We start from the raw sequence: 18470 nt of genomic DNA, 5'->3' as shown, positions 1-18470 counted from the left end.
AATAGACAAATCCACAATCATAGTTGTAGATTTTAACACCTCACTTCCAGTAATTAATAGGTAGAAGAAGCCAAAAAATGTTAATACACATATAGAGGATCTCAACAACACTATCAGTCATCTTGATCTAAATAATATGTTTAGAACAATACACTCAACTGCAGAATACATATTATTTACATAGGCAAATGGCTTGTTTATCGACATATACCATATACTGGCCCATTAAAAATGTCAATACATTTTGAAAGATTGAAATCATATAGAGAATTTCTCTGACCACAATAGAATTTAATTAAACATATTCCTTCTTTAGAAAATATTTTAGTAAACAAAGAGTAGTAGATTTTTCCTCAAAAACAAGAGCCAAAAGAATTAAAAAGTCACTCTATTAGGGATTTTGCTGTAGGAACAAAGAATCTGGCAGGTAAAAAGTGACTGGACTTTGTGATTGTCAGATACAGAGTTAGAAGCACAAGAGTTTTGACAGATGCACTGCGTATTCAAAGTAATGGAAAATTTGAATAGTAGAGAAGTTTGGAAAAATGTCTAGACATGATACTTTAGCTACAGTATATAGAAAGTTGTTTGAGACGTCATACTTAAGCCACAGTTGTTTACCCCTGGAGAAATGAGAGTGTTAAAAAAGATATTAAAATCATTGATTTGTTAAGAAATTATAAGAATCTGAACTATCCTAAAAGTAATCTTTGTAAAATGAACGATAATTCCAGGTTATCTGGGATTTTCTGTAGGTTATCTAAAGGAGTAAATGGAAAAGAAATAAAAAAGATTTTATTTATCAAATAAATTTTTCAAAAAACAGAAATGAAGAGAATAGGAAAAAAGTACATACATACACAAACCTTTTTTTTTTTTTTTTTTTTTTTTTTGAGACAGAGTCTTGCTCTGTCTTCCAGGCTGGAGTGCAGTGGTACTATCCTGGCTCACTGCAGTCTCTACCTCTCTACCTCTTGGGCTCAAGCAATCCTCCCACCTCAGCCTCCAGGGACTACAGGCACATGCCACCATGCCTGGCTAATTTTTTTGTATGTTTTTGTAGAGATGGGGTTTCACCATGTTGCACAGACTGGTCTTGAACTCCTGAGCTCCAGCGATCCACCCTCTTGGGCCTCCCAAAGTGAGCCACCACGCCCAGCCTACTTTAATTCTTTGAACATATTTATAACAGCTGCTTTTTTAAGTCTTTGCTAAATATCTCTCTCAATTTCTTACTGTACTTTTCTTAAGAGCCATGCTTTCCTACTTCTTTACATGTCTAGTAATTTTTGGTGGAAAACTTGATATTTCAGATAATATATTGTAGCAACTATGTATTCTAATTTTTTGGAGAGTTGTTGGATTTGCTTTAATAACTTGGCTATGCAAATACTGATGTCTCTGCTTCATTTTTTATTCTTATATTTATTATTATTATTAAACTTGATTTCCAAAGAGTTACCCCTGTGTCTGCATATAATTTAGTGGTCAGGGCTGGGTGCGGTGGCTCACGCCTGTAATCCCAACACTTTGGGAGTCTGAGGCGGGCGGATCACCTGATGTCAGGAGTTTGTGACCAGCCTGGCCAGCATGTGACACCCTGTCTCTACTAAAAATACAAAAAAAAATTAGCCGGGTGTGGTGGCGGGCACTTGTAATCCCAGCTACTCAGGAGGCTGAGGCAGGAGAATCACTTGAACCCGGGAGGTGGAGGTTGCAGTGAGCGAGATCGTGCCACTGCATTCCATCCTGGGCAACGGAGCGAGACTCCCATCTCAAAATAATAATAATAATTTAGTGGTCACCTAATGATTTGAACAGAGGTTATGCTCAAACATCTTGATCGGGAAAAGCCTCACATTGATTTATATGTGAGTTGGGGAATGTAAATACAAAGTTGCTGCTAGTTTTCAAGTCATCCTTAGCTTTTACTTTTTGCCAGACTATTGGATCTTCCCCCTCCATTTGCATAGTAACCCAGTTAGCCAGGGATGGTAGAGAGCTTATTTCCGCCCTTTTATGGCTCTCTAGTTTCCATGATCTCCCTGTTAAATTTCTGGCTGTCTTTCATGACCAGTCAAAATTCTGGCTGGTTTTCGTGACCAACCCTGAACTAATAAAACCATTCTCATCGACCACGTTGGTGGTAGTAGTGGGTGTGTGAATAACCTCGTGCAAAGAGGCCACTGAGTCCCCCTGCCCTAACCTGAAGCTCTAGCACTTCTTCAACAATAAACGTTTCTTGTTTTCTACATTTGATCCATTTCCAGTACCCTGGAATGGTTGTTTTTCACAATCTCATTCAGGTTTGTACTTGTTTTTTGTGGAGAGGAATTACCAGCCTCTTCATGCCACCATAACTAGTAGTCCTTTTCTATGCTTATATTTGTTTACTCAGCTTCATTATTTACATCTTCTGTATCCATGTTTACTTTTCCCTTAAAGGATCTGTCAGAAACTGAGAGAGATTTTAGTCCTCTACAGTTGTGTTTTTATCAATTGATCCTTTTATTTTAAACAGTCTTGCATTGTGTATTTCTGTGTTCTATTAAAATGTTGTGTATTATACTTTTTGGTTAGTATAAAATGTATTACTTTGCCCAGTTTACAGCCATCAATGCTGTTGTTCTTAAATTTTTTACTCATGCTGGATGTTTGTTTGGATTTCTCTGATGTTATTTTAGGCTGGACTTAAATAATAGTGACACAGTTCATCTGTGTCATCAGTTCCAAGACTACTAGTTTTGGTGATTCACTAGAAAGACTCAGAATACTCAGCACATGTACTCATGGGTAAGATTTGTTACAGTGAAGGACACAAAACAAAATTGGCAAAAGAATAAGGTGCTTGGGGCAAAGTCCAGAGGAAACCACGTGCAAGTTTTCAAAAGTCCTCTCCCAATAGAGTCATGCAAGACTTTTAATTCTCCCAGAAACAAGTTGTCACAATGCTTATAAGTGTTGTCTACCAGGGAAGCTCATTAGAGACTCAGTGACCAGAGTTCTACTGGGGGCTGAGTATGTAGGCATCTTTTGCCTAGTACATACTAAAATTCCAGTCTTCCAGAGGGAAAGCAGGTGTCCAGCATTAACCACATCGTTTGCACAATCTAGACACAGTAAAACCACCATTATTAATTAGGGAACAGTGGGAACACTTCCGAAATCCAAGTTCCCAGATACCAGACAAAGGCCAACCTTGCAAGGAGGTTTTCCTAAGTATAGCAGCATCAGGCCTGCAGTATTAACTTCTTTAATTATTTTCTACACAACATCTTTGTCTTTTTTTTTAAATTGAACTACTCCTGGTGCTTCACTCATGAGTATAATGACCAAAGTTCTTTTGTTGTTTTTTTTGCAGTTAAATGATTTAAAATATTTTTCTCTTAATTTGGGAGTAATATAATTTTATTCAAATATGAAATTAGGGATCATCATTTATAGTTTTTGTTTTTGTTTCAAAAATTCTTTGTTGTTTCTCTAAGCCAAAAATAAAGTGTGTGCTTGTTTTGAAACTCTAATAGACAAAATACTGTACTATGATTTAAATTACATGCTTGGAACAGTTTTATATTTGACTATTCTTTGTATCTCCCACACATCATAATGCCTTTGTTCTTTTCTCAGCACGATTACGTGGTGTTCATGATGGTTTGTTCACTGGACAAATAGATGCTGTGGATACTCTTAATGCTACTTATAGAGTAACTTTTGATAGGACAGGGCTTGGAACCCATACCATCCCTGACTATGAAGTTCTCGTAAGTAGTATTTCATAATACATTTGTGTTTTATGCCTGTTAAATGTGTTATATAGAGTTTTTTTAGAAATCGTATTTTATGATAGAATCAAGACTTTATCTCACAGAGGAAGAGATCCTTAGGGGACCCCAGCCCTATCTGCTAGACCCCTGGTTCGGATCTATACTTAAGTCTTCCATTTGCCAGGAACTAGCATTTCTCTGTTGGACCTTAACGACACAGCACTTTAGTATAACCAAACTGATGAGTCCTGACTAAATAACCTTGGAGAAGAAGCTACATAACATTTTCATTGCAGCTGTTAGGTTAAAGTATAGTCCTCTTGCAAAATTGTTTTTAAAGTATAGTAACATCTTGTACTTATTTGTTCTCCTGTTTTATCTTCAGAGGCATGCAAGGTGGGTGTTAATTACCTTCACTTTTGCATGATGAAACTCAGACATAAGTACAATTGCGTAATTTATTCAAGGCTCTAGATCTGGTTTCCTATTAGGCTGAGACTAGAATTGAGATCTTTTTTTTTTTTTTTTTTTGAGACGGAGTCTTGCTCTGTCGCCCAGGCTGGAGTGCAGTGGTGTGATCTCGGCTCACTGCAACCTCTGCCTAGAATATACATACATACATACATACATACATATATACATAATATATATACACACACATATATATGTATGTCTTTGTAAATATATTTCCTAAAAGAAATATATATATATATATATATATATCTCCTTAGTGCAGAAATACAATATTGCTTGATATCTCTCCGCAATAGGAGAGAAAGAAAATTAGAACTAAATGTAGAACAGAGTACACTGCTCTTAAGTTTTTACATTAAAGGATGAAAGCTTTAAACTCTCCTTTCAAAAAAAGTAAATTGGCCAGGCGCGGTTGCTCACACCTATAATCCCAGCACTTTGGGAGGCTGAGATGGGCGGATCACCTGATGTCAGGAGTTCAAGACCAGCCTGGCCAACATGGTGAAACCCCATCTCTACTAAAAATACAAAAATTAGCTGGGTGGGGTAGCACATGTCTGTAATCCCAGCTACTTGGGAGGCTGAGGCAGGAGAATTGCTTGAACCCAGGAGGTGGAGGCTGCAGTGATCCGAGATCGCGCCATTGCACTCCAGTTTGGTCAACAAGAGTAAAACTCGGTCTCAAAAAAAAAAAAAAGTAAATTGCTTCTCTGTTTCATTAATTTAACTGTTTTTATGAGATCACCCAAATATTTCTCCCTGGCTAAATAAGAGTTGATTTTTAATTGTAGGGTATATTCAGACAGTCTAAATGCAGATAACCAAATGTGGCCATAGAAAACTTTAATATTAATCTTTGATTCTCTGAACTATTTTGACCCCCCCCCTTTTTTTTTATTTCTTTTTTTCTTCTGGAGGTTCATCCTTTTGGCAGCAAAGTAGTGTTTTCATACTCTGTTTCAAGTTCTAGCCTTTGATCTGTATAGACTAATATGCTACTCTATAAATAATTAAATATATAAGTAATAAATTCTATATGAATCATAGAATATGCGTGAATATATATCTCAAGCTGAAATACAATGATTATAAAGCTTAAATGATTGGTAAATTTCTTTAAGTTTTGTGAATTATTCTGTTTTCTCAGAGTAATGAACCTCATGAGACAATGCCAATTGCTGCCTTTGGACAAAAACAGCGGCCTTCTCGATTTTTTATGACCCCACCACGGTTACATTATACTCCTCCTCTCCAGTCACCAATTATAGTAAGTATATTTTAGAAATATCAATAATTTAATTGATTTTTATGAAGGTGAACTATGTTCTTAAGAAATACACATCTATTACAGCAACTTCAAAGTATGCACACTATTTTGAATTGAAAATATTAAATAAAATAAATAGTTGCTTCATCTCCAGAAATAATTTCCTTTTTATTGGATTTTAATATAATATTAATTATAACAGAATTTTCTCTTTTTCTAAAAATAAGATACTTCCTGGCCGGGCGCAGTGGCTCACGCCTGTAATCCCAGCACTTTGGGAGGCTGAGGCAGGCGGATCACGAGGTCAGGAGTTCGAGACCAACCTGATCAACATGGTGAAACGCCGTCTCTGCTAAAAATACAAAAATTAGCTGGGCGTGGTGGCGCGCGCCTGTAATCCCAGCTGCTCGGGAGGCTGAGGCAGGAGAATCGCTTGAACCCAGGAGTCAGAGATTGCAGTGAGCCGAGATCACAAGTGGCAACAGAGCGAGACTCCGTCTAAAAAAAAATAAAAATAAAAAAATAAGATACTTCCTCTGAATAGTCAATGATTAAATAATTCCTTTTTATTCCCATAGGATAATGATCCTTTATTAGGACAGTCGCCGTGGAGAAGTAAAATTTCTGGCTCTGACACTGAAACATTAGGTGGTTTTCCAGTAGAATTTCTTATCCAAGTGGTAAGAATTGTTCTGAATATCTTGGCTGTTTGTTTAAAAACTCAATGCCTTTTATGTTATTAAAGTTGAAAATTTTTCTAGGGCCGTGTAGGTTTATCACCGTGTAGGTTTTAAGAGCTGCTATTTCCAACAAAGCCTGAAAATAAAAGTTATAAAAACCAAAAAAGACTTAAAGATCTTTCTTCTTGAGCTTTGTCTTGTGTCTGAGTTCTTATTATTCTGCTATTTTAAGGGCTCAAACATTCTTGCATATGTTCTGTGAAATTCTGAATGTTTGGCTGTTAATAACTTGGGTAACTATGAAGGCTTTTATTTAGTAACCTCAGCATATTCTGCCATCATCAGTCAGTTCAACAGTTATGATGTCCTGGCTAGCTTATATGGTTAGAAGAAATTTTATTTCTTTTCAGAGACTAGAAACAGGTATTCACCTGCTAAGTACTTAGTGATTAGACACTAAGAAATCTAAGCCTAAACTGAACTAAGTGTAGAAGTATTATATTGGAAAATTTCCTTATAGCTGGACTCTTAAAAATGTAGTGAGTTTGAAAATTAGATTAAATAAATTTTTTAGTTTGAATCATAGTCTAATAATGTTTCATTTCCTTTTTGGAAAATGAAAACTACTTTGGCTTGGGATAGAAATGATCTTTATTTTCATTTGTTTATTTATTTATTCATTTTGAGACTGAGTCTTGCTCTGTTGCCCAGGCTGGAGTGCAGTGGGTCAGTCTGGGCTCACTGCAACCTCTACCTCCTGGATTCAAGCTTTTCTCCTGCTTCAGCCTCCTGAGTAGCTGGGATTACAGGCATGCACCACTATGCCCGGCTAATTTTTTTTGTAATTTTAATAGAGATGGGGTTTCACTGTGCTGGCCAGGCTGGTCTCCAGTTCCTAACTTCAAGTGATCCCCCCACCTTGGCCTCCCAAAGTGCTGGGATTAGAGGTGTGAGCTACTGCACCTGGCTGATATGATCTTTATAAATAAAAATGTTTATAACATAATCCATGAAAATATTCACAGTGTTCTTTTGCAGTTGATGTTATTTTGAGGAAAGGTCTTGTCAGTTGTGTGTCTGTATATAGCATTCTGTGTTCCTCAATCACATTTTTTTATTTAATATTTATTTATTTATTTGTTTATTTATTTTATTTGAGACAGAGTCTCACTCTGTCTCCCAGGCTGGAGTGCAGTGGCACGATCTCAGCTCACTGTAGCCTCTACCTCCCGGGTTCCAGTGGAATCACCTCAGCCTCCCAAGTTGCTGGGATTACAGGCGCACGCCACCACACCCAGCTAATTTTTTGTATTTTTAGTAGAGACGGGGTTTCACCATGTTGGCCAGGCTGGTCTCAAACTCCTGACCTCACATGATCGCCCTCGGCCTCCCAAAGTGCTGGAATTGCAGGCATGAGCGACTGCACCTGGCCTATTTATTTATTTATTTGTTTGTTTGAGACAAAGTCTTGCTCTGTTGTCCAGGCTGGAGTACAGGGGTGCCATTATGGCTCACTGCAGCCTTAACCTCCAGTCTCAGGCAGTCCTCCCACCTCAGCCTCCCAAGTAGCTGAGACTGCAGGCATGTACCACCACTCCCAGCTAATATATTTTTTATTGGTTTTGTAGAGATGGAGTCTCACTATGTTACCTAGGCTGGTCTTGAACTCCTGGGCTCAAATGTTCCTCCCACCTTGGCTTTCCAAAGTGCTAAGATTACAGGCTTGAGTCACCATGCCCAGCCAATGATATATTGTTAGTTATCCTTGCAATATAAAATTTCTTATACCTTTGGCTTCTCAAGGCAGATGGATATTTTATATGAAAGATTGAAAATGTGATAAGAGCAAAGACTTATTCTTTTCACAAAGAAGACACTTGTTTTTAATTTTTTCTTTTAAATAGTAGAAGTAAAAACAAAGCTAATATGTTATATTTGAACAGGTGTTGTGTGTGTGAGAGAGTTTGAGAGAGATCAATAAGCAAAGGGAGCCAGAAGCTAAGTACTACTACACTATGTCTAAATATCACTATGTGATATTTTTATCGATCCTTGTTATATTTGATTTTTAATTCAATACACTTTATTTTTTTAGACCAATTTTAGGTTCATAGCAAAATTGAGAAGAAGATACAGATATTTCCCATATACTTCCTGACCCCACACATGTGTAGTCTCCCCCTATTATCTCCCAGCAGATGGTACATTTGTTACAGTCAGTGAACTTTCATTAACACATCATTTCACCTAAAGACCATAGTTCACATTAATGTATTTAAAGATGTGGAACATTTTAAGAGTTTTGACAAATGTATAATATCATGTATCCACCATTATGTATCATATAGAGTAGTTTTGCTGCCCTAAAAATCTTCTGTGTTTCACCTTTTTATCTCTTCCCCTGAGCCCCTGGAAATCACTGATCTTTTTACTGTTTCCATAGTTTTATCTTTTGCAGACTGTCATATATTTGAAGTCATACAGTATATAGCCTTTTTATATTGGTTTCTTTCACTTACTAGTATACATTTAAGTTTCTTTCATGTCTATTCGTGGCTTGATAGCTCATTTCTTTTTAGCATTGAGTAATATTACATTGTCGGGATGTACCACAGTTTATTTACTCATTGACAAACTGAAAGACATCTTGGTTGCTTTCAAATTTTGGCAATTATGAATAAAGGTGCCATAAACATCTGTGTGCAGGTTTTTGTGTGGCCGTAAGTTTTCAGCTCCTTTGGGTAAATACCAAGGAGTGTAATTGCTGGTTCATATGGTAAGAGTATGCTTAGTTATATAAGAAACTGACAAGCTGTGTTCTAAAGTGGCTGTACCATTTTGCATTCCCAGCAGCAGTGAATGGGATTTCCTGTTGCTCCACATCCTCGTTAGCATTTGGTGTTGTCAGTGTTCTGGATTTTGGCCATTCTAATAGGTTTGTTGTGGTATCTTATTATTTAAATTTGCATTTCCCTGATGACATATACATTTCCTCATTGACCATCTTTTCATATGCTTATCTGCCATCTGTATATCTTCTTTGGTGAGGTGTCTGTTAAGGTCTTTGGCTCATTTTTTAATCCAATTGTTTGTTTTCTTATTGTTGGGTTTTAAGAGTTCTTTGTATATTTTGGAAAGCAGTTCCTTATCGGATGTATATTTTACAAATATTTTCTCCCAGTCTGTGGCTTGTCTTTTCATTCTCTTTACAATGTCTTTAACCAAACAGAAGTTTTTAATTTTAATGAAGTTCAGCTCATCATTTCATTCTTACATGGATCATGCCCTTGATGTCATATCTAAAGTTGGTTGTCACAAAACCAAAGTCATCTAGATTTTTTTTCCTGTGTTACTTTCTAGGAGTTTTATAGTTTTGGATTTTACATCTATGTTTGTGATTCCCTTTGTGAAAGGTGTAAGGTTTTTGTCTAGATTCATTTTTTTGTTGTTTGTTTGTGGATGTCCAGTTGTTGCAGCACCATTTGTTGAAGACTTGACTTTTCTCCACTGTTGCCCATTTGTTGCGCAACTGCCTTTGCCCATTTGTTGAAGATAATTGACTATGTGGATTTATTTCTGGGCTCTCTATTCTGTTCCATTGATCTATTTTATTTTATTCTTTGCCACTACCACACTGTCTTGATTACTGTAGGTTTATAGTATGTTTTGAAGTTGAATAGTGTCAGTCCTTCAACTTTGTTCTTCTACTTCAATATTGTGTTGGCTATAGTAGGTCTTTTGCCTTTCAATATAGACTTTAGAATCATTTTGTCAATATCCATAAAACAACTCGCTGGGATTTTGACTTGTATTGAATTGAATTTATAGATCAAGTTGAGAAGAACTGGTATCTTGACAGTGTTGTGTCTTCTTATCCATGAACATGAAATATCTCTTATTTATTTAGTTCTTTGATTTCTTTCATCAGAGTTTTGCTCACATAGGTCTTGTACATATTTGTTGGATTTATACTTAAGTATTTCATTTTGGGGGGTGTTAAGGTAAATGATACTGTGTTTTTAATTTCACATCATAATTGTTTATTGTTTGACAAAGCAATTGACTTTTGTATGTTAACTTTGTATCCTGCAACTTTGCTGTAGTCACTTATTAGTTCCAGGGATTTTTTTTTTTTCTCATTTCTTTCAGATTGTCTACGTAGACAGTCATGTCACCCGCCTAAAACAGATAGTTGTTTTTTTCCTTCCCAATTCTACCTTTAATTTCTCTTTCTTATCTTATTGCATTAGCTAGGACTTCCAGTATGATGTTGAAAAGAGTGATAAGAGAGGACATTGTTGCCTTCTTCCTGATCTTAGTGGGAAAACTTCTAGTTTCTCACCATTAAGTATGATATTAGACATGAGGTTTTTTTGTAGATTTTTTTTTTTTTTATCAGGTTGAGGACGTTGTCTATTCCTAGCTTACTGAGAGTTTTTATCATGAATGAGTGTTGAATTTTGTCAAATACTTTGCCTCTATCAATCTGATCATATTTTTCTTCTTTAGCCTACTGATGTGATGGATTATATTAATTAATTTTCAAACATTGAATCAGCCTTGCATACTTCAGGTAAATCTCACTTGGGGCCGGGTGCGGTGGCTCACGCCTGTAATCCCAGCACTTTGGGAGGCCGAGGCAGGCAGATCACGAGGTCAGGAGATCGAGACCATCCTGGCTAACATGGTGAAACCCCGTCTCTACTAAAAATACAAAAAAATTAGCCAGGCGTGGTGGCCAGTGCCTGTAGTCCCAGTTACTCGGGAGGCTGAGACAGGAGACTGGCGTGAACCTGGGAGGCGGAGCTTGCAGTGAGCCGAGTTCGTGCCACTGCACTCCGGCCTGGGTGACAGAGCAAGACACTGTCTCAAAAAAAAAAAAAAAAAAAAAAAAAAAAAAAAAACTCATTTGGCCGTGATCTTAAATTCTTTTATACATCATTGGATTCAATTTGCTAATATTTTATTGAGGATTTTTGCATCTGTGTTTATGAAAGATACTGATCTATAGTTTTTTTCTTTTCATGTTTGGACAGGGGATCTATGTTGCCCAGGCTAGGCGCAGACTCCTGGGTTCAAGTGATCCTCCCACTTCAGCCTCCCAGTAGCTAGGACTATGAGTACATTCCATTGTGCCTGGCTTATAGTTTTCTTTCACTGTGTCTTTGTCAGATTTTGGTATTAAGGTAATGCTAACCTTGGAGAAGAGTTAGGAAGTATTTCCTCTGCTTCTATCCTCTAAAACATAACAGAGGTTGGGTATAATTTCTTCCTCAAATGTTTAGTAGAATTCCTTAGTGAACCCATCTGGGCCTGGTGCTATCTGTTTTGGAAGGTTAATTATTGACTCAATTTATTTAGTAGATATAAGCCTATTCAGAGCCTTCCATTTTTTTCTTGTGCAAATTTAGAAATTTCAAGGAGTTTATCTTTTTAAAGTCCATAGGATCTGTAGTGATGCCCCTTTTTCATTTCTGAAATTAATAATTTGTGTCCTCTCTCTTTTTTCTTAGCCTAGCTAGAGGCTTATCAGTATCATTGATCTTTTTAAACAACCAGCTTTTGGTTTTGTTGATTTTTTTCTATTTTCTGTTTTCAATTTTATTGATTTCTGCTCTAGTTTATATTATTCTGATTACTTTGTATTTAATTTCCTATTTTTTTTTTTTAGTTTCCTAAGGTGGAAGCTTAAATTACTGATTTTAAGTCTTCTTTACTAATATATGCATTCGATACTACAAGTTTCCCACTAAGCACTGCTTTGGCTGCATCACACAAATTTTGACAAGTTGTCTTTTTATTTTTATCTAGTTCAGAATATTTTTTCATTTCTTCTTTTAGATTGCTTTTTTGACTCGTATTATTTAGACATATCTTCGGATTTTACAGCTTTCTTTGTTATTGATTTCTAGTAGAAGTTCATTGTGGTGTAAGAGCATACATTGTATGATTTCTATTGTTTTAATTTTGTTAAGGTATGTTTTGTGGCCCAGAATGAGCTCTTCATGAATTTTCCGCACGACCTTGAGTAGAAAGTATATTCTATGGTTGTTGGATGAAGTAGTCTATAGATACCAATTATATCCAGTTAATTGATGGTATTGTTGAGTTTATGTCCTTGCTGATTTTCTGCCCATTGAATCTGTTCATTTCTGATAGAGGGGTATCAAAATCTCCAACTATAATGGTGGATTGATCTATTTGTCAATAGTTAATCATTTTGCCTCATGTTTTGATGTTCTGTTATTAGGCATATAAATATTAAGTATTGTTGGCCGGGTGTGGTGGCTCACCCCTGTAATCCCAGCCCTTTGGGAAGCTTAGGCGGGCAGATCACTTGAGGTCAGGAATTCGAGACCAGCCTGGCCAATGTGGTGAAACCCCGTCTCTACTAAAAATACAAAATTAGCTAGGTGTGGTGGCAGACACCTGTAATCCCAGCTACTTGGGAGGCTGAGACAGGAGAATTGCTTGAACCCAGGAGGCGTGAGCTGACATTGCAACACTGCCCTCTGGCCTGGGTGACAGAGCAAGACTCTGTCTCAAAAAAAAAAAAAAAATTATTATGTCTTCTTGGAACATTGACCCCTTTCTCATTATGTAATGCCTTTTTTTTTTTTTTTTTTTTTTTTTTTTTTGTTGAGACAGAGTCTTGCTCTGTCACCCTTGGCTGGAGTGCAGTGGCGTGATCTCGGCTCACTGCAAGCTCCACATCCCAGGTTCATGCCATTCTCCTGCCTCAGTCTCCTGAGTAGCTGGGACTACAGGTGCCCGCCACCATGCCCGGCTAATTTTTTTGTATTTTTAGTAGAGACGGGGTTTCACCGTGTTAGCCAGGACAGTCTCGATCTCCTGACCTTGTGATCCGCTCGCATCAGCCTCCCAAAGTGCTGGGATTACAGGTGTGAGCCACCACACCCAGCCATAATGCCCCTTTTTATTCCTGACACCTTTTCTTGCTCTGGAGTCAGCTTTGTCTGAAATTGATATAACTGCTCCTGCTTTCTTTTGATTAGTGTTAGCATGGCATATTCTTTATCCATTTACTTTTTTTTTTTTTTTTTGAGACAAAGTCTTGCTCTGTCACCCAGGCAGCCTCTGCCTCCTGGGTTCAAATGATTCTCATGCCTCAGCCTCCCAAGTAGCTAGGATTACATGCGTCCTCCACCACATCTGGCTAATATTAGTATTTTTAGTAGAGACAGGTTTTCACCATGTTGGCCAGGCTGGTCTGGAACTCCTGACCACAAGAAATCTGCCTGCCTCAGCCTCCCAAAGTGCTGGAATTACAAGTGTCAGCCACTGAGACTAGCCCTGTTTTGTTTGTTTGTTTGTTTGTTTGTTTGTTTGTTTGTTTTTGAGAACAGGGTCTCCCTCTGTAGCCTAGGCTGGAGTGCGGTGGCTCACTACAGCCTCAACCTCCTGGACTTAAGCAATCCTCCCACCTCAGCCTCCCAAGTAGCTGGGACTACAGGCACAAGACACCACACCTGCTAATTTTTGTATTTTTTGTATAGACATGGGGTGTCAGTGTACCCCAGGCTGGTCTTGAACTCCTTGGCTCAAGCGATGGGACCCACCTCGGCCTCCCAAAGTACTGGGATTATAGGCATGAGCCACCACACCTGGCCTTCATCCATTTACTTTTAATCTATCTGTGTCTTTATGTTTAAAGTAGATTTCAAAGTGGTTGTTGATGTAGTTGGATTATCATATAGTAATAAATATCTACCGTGTTTATTACTATGTTCTATTTGTTGCTCATATTCTTTATTTCTATTTTTATATTCCACTCTTTTTTTGTGTTTTATGGTTTACTTTATATAATTCCATTTTTCTCTGCTTTCTTAGCATATAGGTTATACTTTTTTTTCTTTTAGCTTTCTTTAATGGTTGCCCTAGAGTTTACATTATATACTTTTACAACTAATCCATATCCACTTTCAAATAACACTGTACAGCTTCATGGGTAGTGCTAGTACCTGATAATAACAAAATAATCCTAATTCATCCCTCCTTTCCTTTGTATCATTGCTCTCATTATTTTATTTATACCTAAGCATGCATAAGCATATATACACATAATCATATATAATCAAATATGCTGTTGCTGTTATTATTTTGAACAAACTGTTATCTGTTGGAACAATTAGGAATAAGGAAAATAAAAGTTTGTATTTTACCTTCAACGTATTCTTTCTTTGATACATTTCCTTTATTTATATCTGAGTTTCTGACATATAAAATTTTCTTTTTCTTTAAAGAACATCATTTAACATTTCTGGCCAGGTGTGGTGGCTCACGCCTGTGATCCTAGCACTTTGGGAGGCTGAGGTGGGTAGATCACTTGAGGTCAGGAGTTCGAGACCAGCCTGGCCAACATGGTGAAACCCCGTCTCTACTAAAAATACAAAAATTAGCCGGGCCTGGTGGCATTTATAGTCCCAGCTACTTGGGAGGCTGAGGCACGAGAATCGCTTGGACCTGGGAGGTGGAGGCTGCAGGGAGCCAAAATCGCTCCATTGCACTCCAGCCTGGGCAACAGAGCAAGATTCCGTCTCAGAAAAAAAGAAAAAAATCATTTCTTACAAGGCAGTCCTACTGGCGACAGATTTTCTCAAGTTTTTTTCTCTGAGAAAGTATTTTTCTTTCACTTAAAAAAAATTTTATTTTATTGGCCGGGTGCGGTGGCTCATGCCTGTAATCCCAGCACTTTGGGAGGCCAGGTGGGCAGATCACGAGGTCAGGAGATCCAGACCATCCTGACTAACATGGTGAAACCCTGTCTCTACTAAAAATACAAAAAATTAGCTGGGCATGGTGGTGGGCGCCTGTAGTCCCAGCTACTCGGGAGGCTGAGGCAGGAGACTGTTGTGAACCCAGGAGGCGGAGCTTGCAGTGAGCCAAGATCGCACCACTGCACTCCAGCCTGGGTGACAGAGCGAGACTCTGTCTCAAAAAAATATATATATATATATATTTATTTTATTTATTATTGTAGAGATAAGGTCTGGCGGTGTTTCTCAGGCTGCTGCACAACTCCTGGGCTTAAGCAGTCCTCCCTCTTGGCCTTCCAAAGTGCTGAGATTACAGGCGTGAGCTATGATGCCCAGTCCTGTTTTACTTTTGAATGATAATTTCATAGGGTGCAGAGGTTTAGATTGCCAGATTTTTTTTCTCAACGCAAGATATTTCACTCCAGTCTCCTCTTGCTTGCCTGGTTTCTAAGAAGAAGTCAGATGAAGTTCTTATCTTTGCTCCTCTATCGGTAAAGTGTTTTCTTTCAGGATTTTTTTTTCCTTTTTTTTAGTATGTAGAGATGGGGTTTTGCCATGTTGTCCAGGCTGGTCTCGAGCTGCTAGGCTCAAGCAGTCTGCCCGCCTTAGCCTCCCAAAGTGCTGGGATTAGAGGTGTGAGCCACCATAGCTGGACCAGAATTTTTCTTTATCTTGGATTTTCTGTAGTTTGAATATGATATGTGTAAATCTAGAGGTTTTTGTGGTGTTTCTTCTGCTTGGTATTCTCTGAGATTCTTAGATCTTTGCTTTGGTATTTGACATTAAATTGGGGAAATTCTCATTCATTATATTTCAGATAGTTCTTCCTTTTTTTCTCTCTTTCCTCTCCTTGTATTTCCATTAATGCATAAGTTATACCTTTTGTAGTTGTCCCACAATCCTTGGACATTCTGTGCTGATTTTTTCAGTCTTTGTTCTCTTTGTTTTTTAGTTTTGGAAGTTCCTATTAATATATCCTCTTCTGAGATAACTGTTGTGGAAGAAAAAAAAGAAAAATAAATAATATATCCTCAAGCTCGAGAAATTTTCATCTCTTTGCTTGCATTGCCCATCTGTTCTTGCATGCTATTTTATCCATTAGAGGCCTTAGCTTATTACTCATAGTTCTTTCAAATTTCAACATCCCTGCCATATCTAAGGCTGGTTTTTATGCTTGCTTTGTCTCTTCAAACTATGTTTTTTTTTGCCTCCTGGCGTACCTTGTAATTTTTTCTTAATTGCCAAACATGATGTACTATGTAAAAGGAACTGTGTCAGCCTGAGCCTCTGGACTATGAACTTCACAAATGCACCTCAGTTTTTCCTCCTCTTATGTGGTACGGGGTGGCTAGAGTGGGCTGGGGTTGGGTTTTTCTCTTCCCCCAGGTCAGTAAGCCTCTGATAAAACCCTAGCATGTTAGCTTCTGGTTAAATAGTTTTTCCTGAGGGCAGGCCTTGCTAAGAACAGAATGCTCCATCTTAATTCAAAATCGTTAGTTTTCCTTCCCCTTGCAGGAAGCAAGAGGGAGTATTTCTGCAGTATTCACTAAGAACCAGATTAAGCCCCTGGAAGTAAAACTCACAAAGTATGCTTTTCAAAAAAGCCTCCTAACTGGGTCCCGTAGAGTAAATGCTTAATGCACCTACCACATATATTACAGTTCAGTTTTCCCTACCCAAGCACTGGTTCCTAGAGGTTTTTGCTCATGGGTTTCTGCTCCAGTAAATTGTGATTCTACATACTTGCCTTTCATTCTTTCCAATTTTGTGAACAGTTTGCCTTGGCCCTCAATTTTCTTAGAGATCTAAGAAGTGTCGTTGACTTTTTTTTTTTTTTTTTTTTTTGAGACAGAGTCTCGCTCTGTCGCCCAGGCAAGAGTGTAGTGGCACGATCTCAGCTCACTGCAAGCTCCGCCTTCCGGGTTCACGCCATTCTTCTGCCTCAGCCTCCCGAGTAGCTGGGACTACAGTCACCCTCCACTACGCCCGGCTAATTTTTTGTATTTTTAGTAGAGATGGGGTTTCACCGTGTTAGCCAGGATGGTCTCGATCTCCTGACCTCGTGATCCGCCCGTCTCGTCCTCCCAAAGTGCTGGGATTACAGGCGTGAGCCACCGCGCCTGGCCAAGTGTCATTGATTTTTTTAAGTATGTCAGCTTTTTACCTGGTGTTAGGATGGAGTAGCACCTTCCCAGCTTCTTATATCCCAGACTGTAAACTGAAAGTCTATGTATTTGATTTTAGTACTTAATTTAAAATTTATAATCTATATGTAAAGCCTAGTTAAAATACTACTTCCACTATTATTTTAAGATACTTAAGAGGTAAAAATAAAAGTTATTTTATGTCCCTACCTTTTATAGTATGTGAGGTTTTATAAAACTCTCAGTTTTGCTCTTAAGTGAAGTTGATATTTTGATTTTTTTGCTGTTCCAAATGTATTTTTTCTTATGACAAAATAAACATTAAAAATGTTTTGCCGCCAGGCACAGTGGTTCACACCTACAATCCCAGCACTTTAGGTGGCCAAGCTGGGAGGATTGGAAGTCTAGGAGTTCAAGACAAGCCTGGGCAACATAGACAAGGATTGAGTCTAGGAGTTGAAGACAAGCCTGGGCAACATAGTGAGACCCCATCTGTACAAAAAAATACAAAAATTAGCCAGGTGTGGTGATACGCCCCTGTAGTCCCTACTACTCAGGAGTCTGAGGTGGGAAGATCACTTGAGCCCAGGAGGTTGAGGCTGCAGTGAGCCATGATCACGCTACTGCACTCAGCCTGGGTAGCTATAAGCTACCACACCCGGCCTTATTATTTCTTTCTTTCTTTTTTTTCTTTTTTGAAACAGAATCTTACTCTGTTGCCCAGGCTGGAGTGCAGTGGTGTGATCTTAGCTCATTGCAGACTCTGCTTCCTGGGTTCATGTGATTCTCCTGCCTCAGCCTTCTGAGTAGCCAGGATTACAGGTGCCTGCCATCATGCCGGCTAAATTTTGTATTTTTAGTAGAGATGGGGTTTTACCATGTTGGCCAGGTTGGTCTCAAACTCCTGACCTCAGGTGATCCACCCACCTTGGCCTCCCAAAGTGCTGGGATTACAGGCGTGAGCCACCGTACCCGGCCCTTTTTATTTATTTCTAAGAGATAACCCTTTTTTTGGCCAGGCATGATGGCTTATGCCTGTATGTAATCCCAGCACTTTGGGAGGCTGAGGCTAATGGATCACCTGAGGTCAGGAAGTTCAAGACCAGCCTGGCCAACATGGTAAAACCTCATCTCTACTAAAAATACAAAAATTATCCAGGCGTGGTGGTGCGAGCCTGTAGTCCCAGCTACTCGGGAGCCTGAGGCATGAGGATTCCTTGAACCTGGGAGGTGAAGCCAAGATCATGCAGTTGCGTTCTAGCCTGGGCGACAGAGCAAGATTCCATCTCCAAAAAAAAGAGAGATACATTTTTTTCTTTCTTTCTTTCTCTTTTTTTTTTTTTTTTGAGACAGGGTTTCAGTCA

General features: G+C 38.4%; 1 protein-coding gene across 16 annotated transcripts in view; it reads left to right on the top strand.

Annotated features, from left to right (window-relative positions):
* LIN9 (lin-9 DREAM MuvB core complex component) overlaps positions 1 to 18470 on the top strand; it is a 78619-nt gene that overhangs the window by 38050 nt on the left and 22099 nt on the right. For 12 of the 16 annotated variants that reach the window (XM_047418546.1, NM_001366240.1, NM_001366238.1 and 9 more), the window contains 3 exons: positions 3628 to 3761; positions 5386 to 5505; positions 6084 to 6185. In XM_047418546.1, the coding sequence (XP_047274502.1) occupies positions 3628 to 3761; positions 5386 to 5505; positions 6084 to 6185 (356 nt within the window). The remainder of the gene's footprint in view (positions 1 to 3627; positions 3762 to 5385; positions 5506 to 6083; positions 6186 to 18470) is intronic. The other 4 variants (XM_017001084.2, XM_024446565.2, XM_047418553.1 and 1 more) reach the window with 1 other exon arrangement.

The sequence above is a fragment of the Homo sapiens genome, chromosome 1, assembly GCF_000001405.40.
Source record: "Homo sapiens chromosome 1, GRCh38.p14 Primary Assembly".
Taxonomy (NCBI): Eukaryota; Metazoa; Chordata; class Mammalia; order Primates; family Hominidae; genus Homo; species Homo sapiens.
The sequence above is the reverse complement of the archived record's forward strand: the minus strand, read 5'-3'. Positions and strand labels throughout refer to the sequence as shown.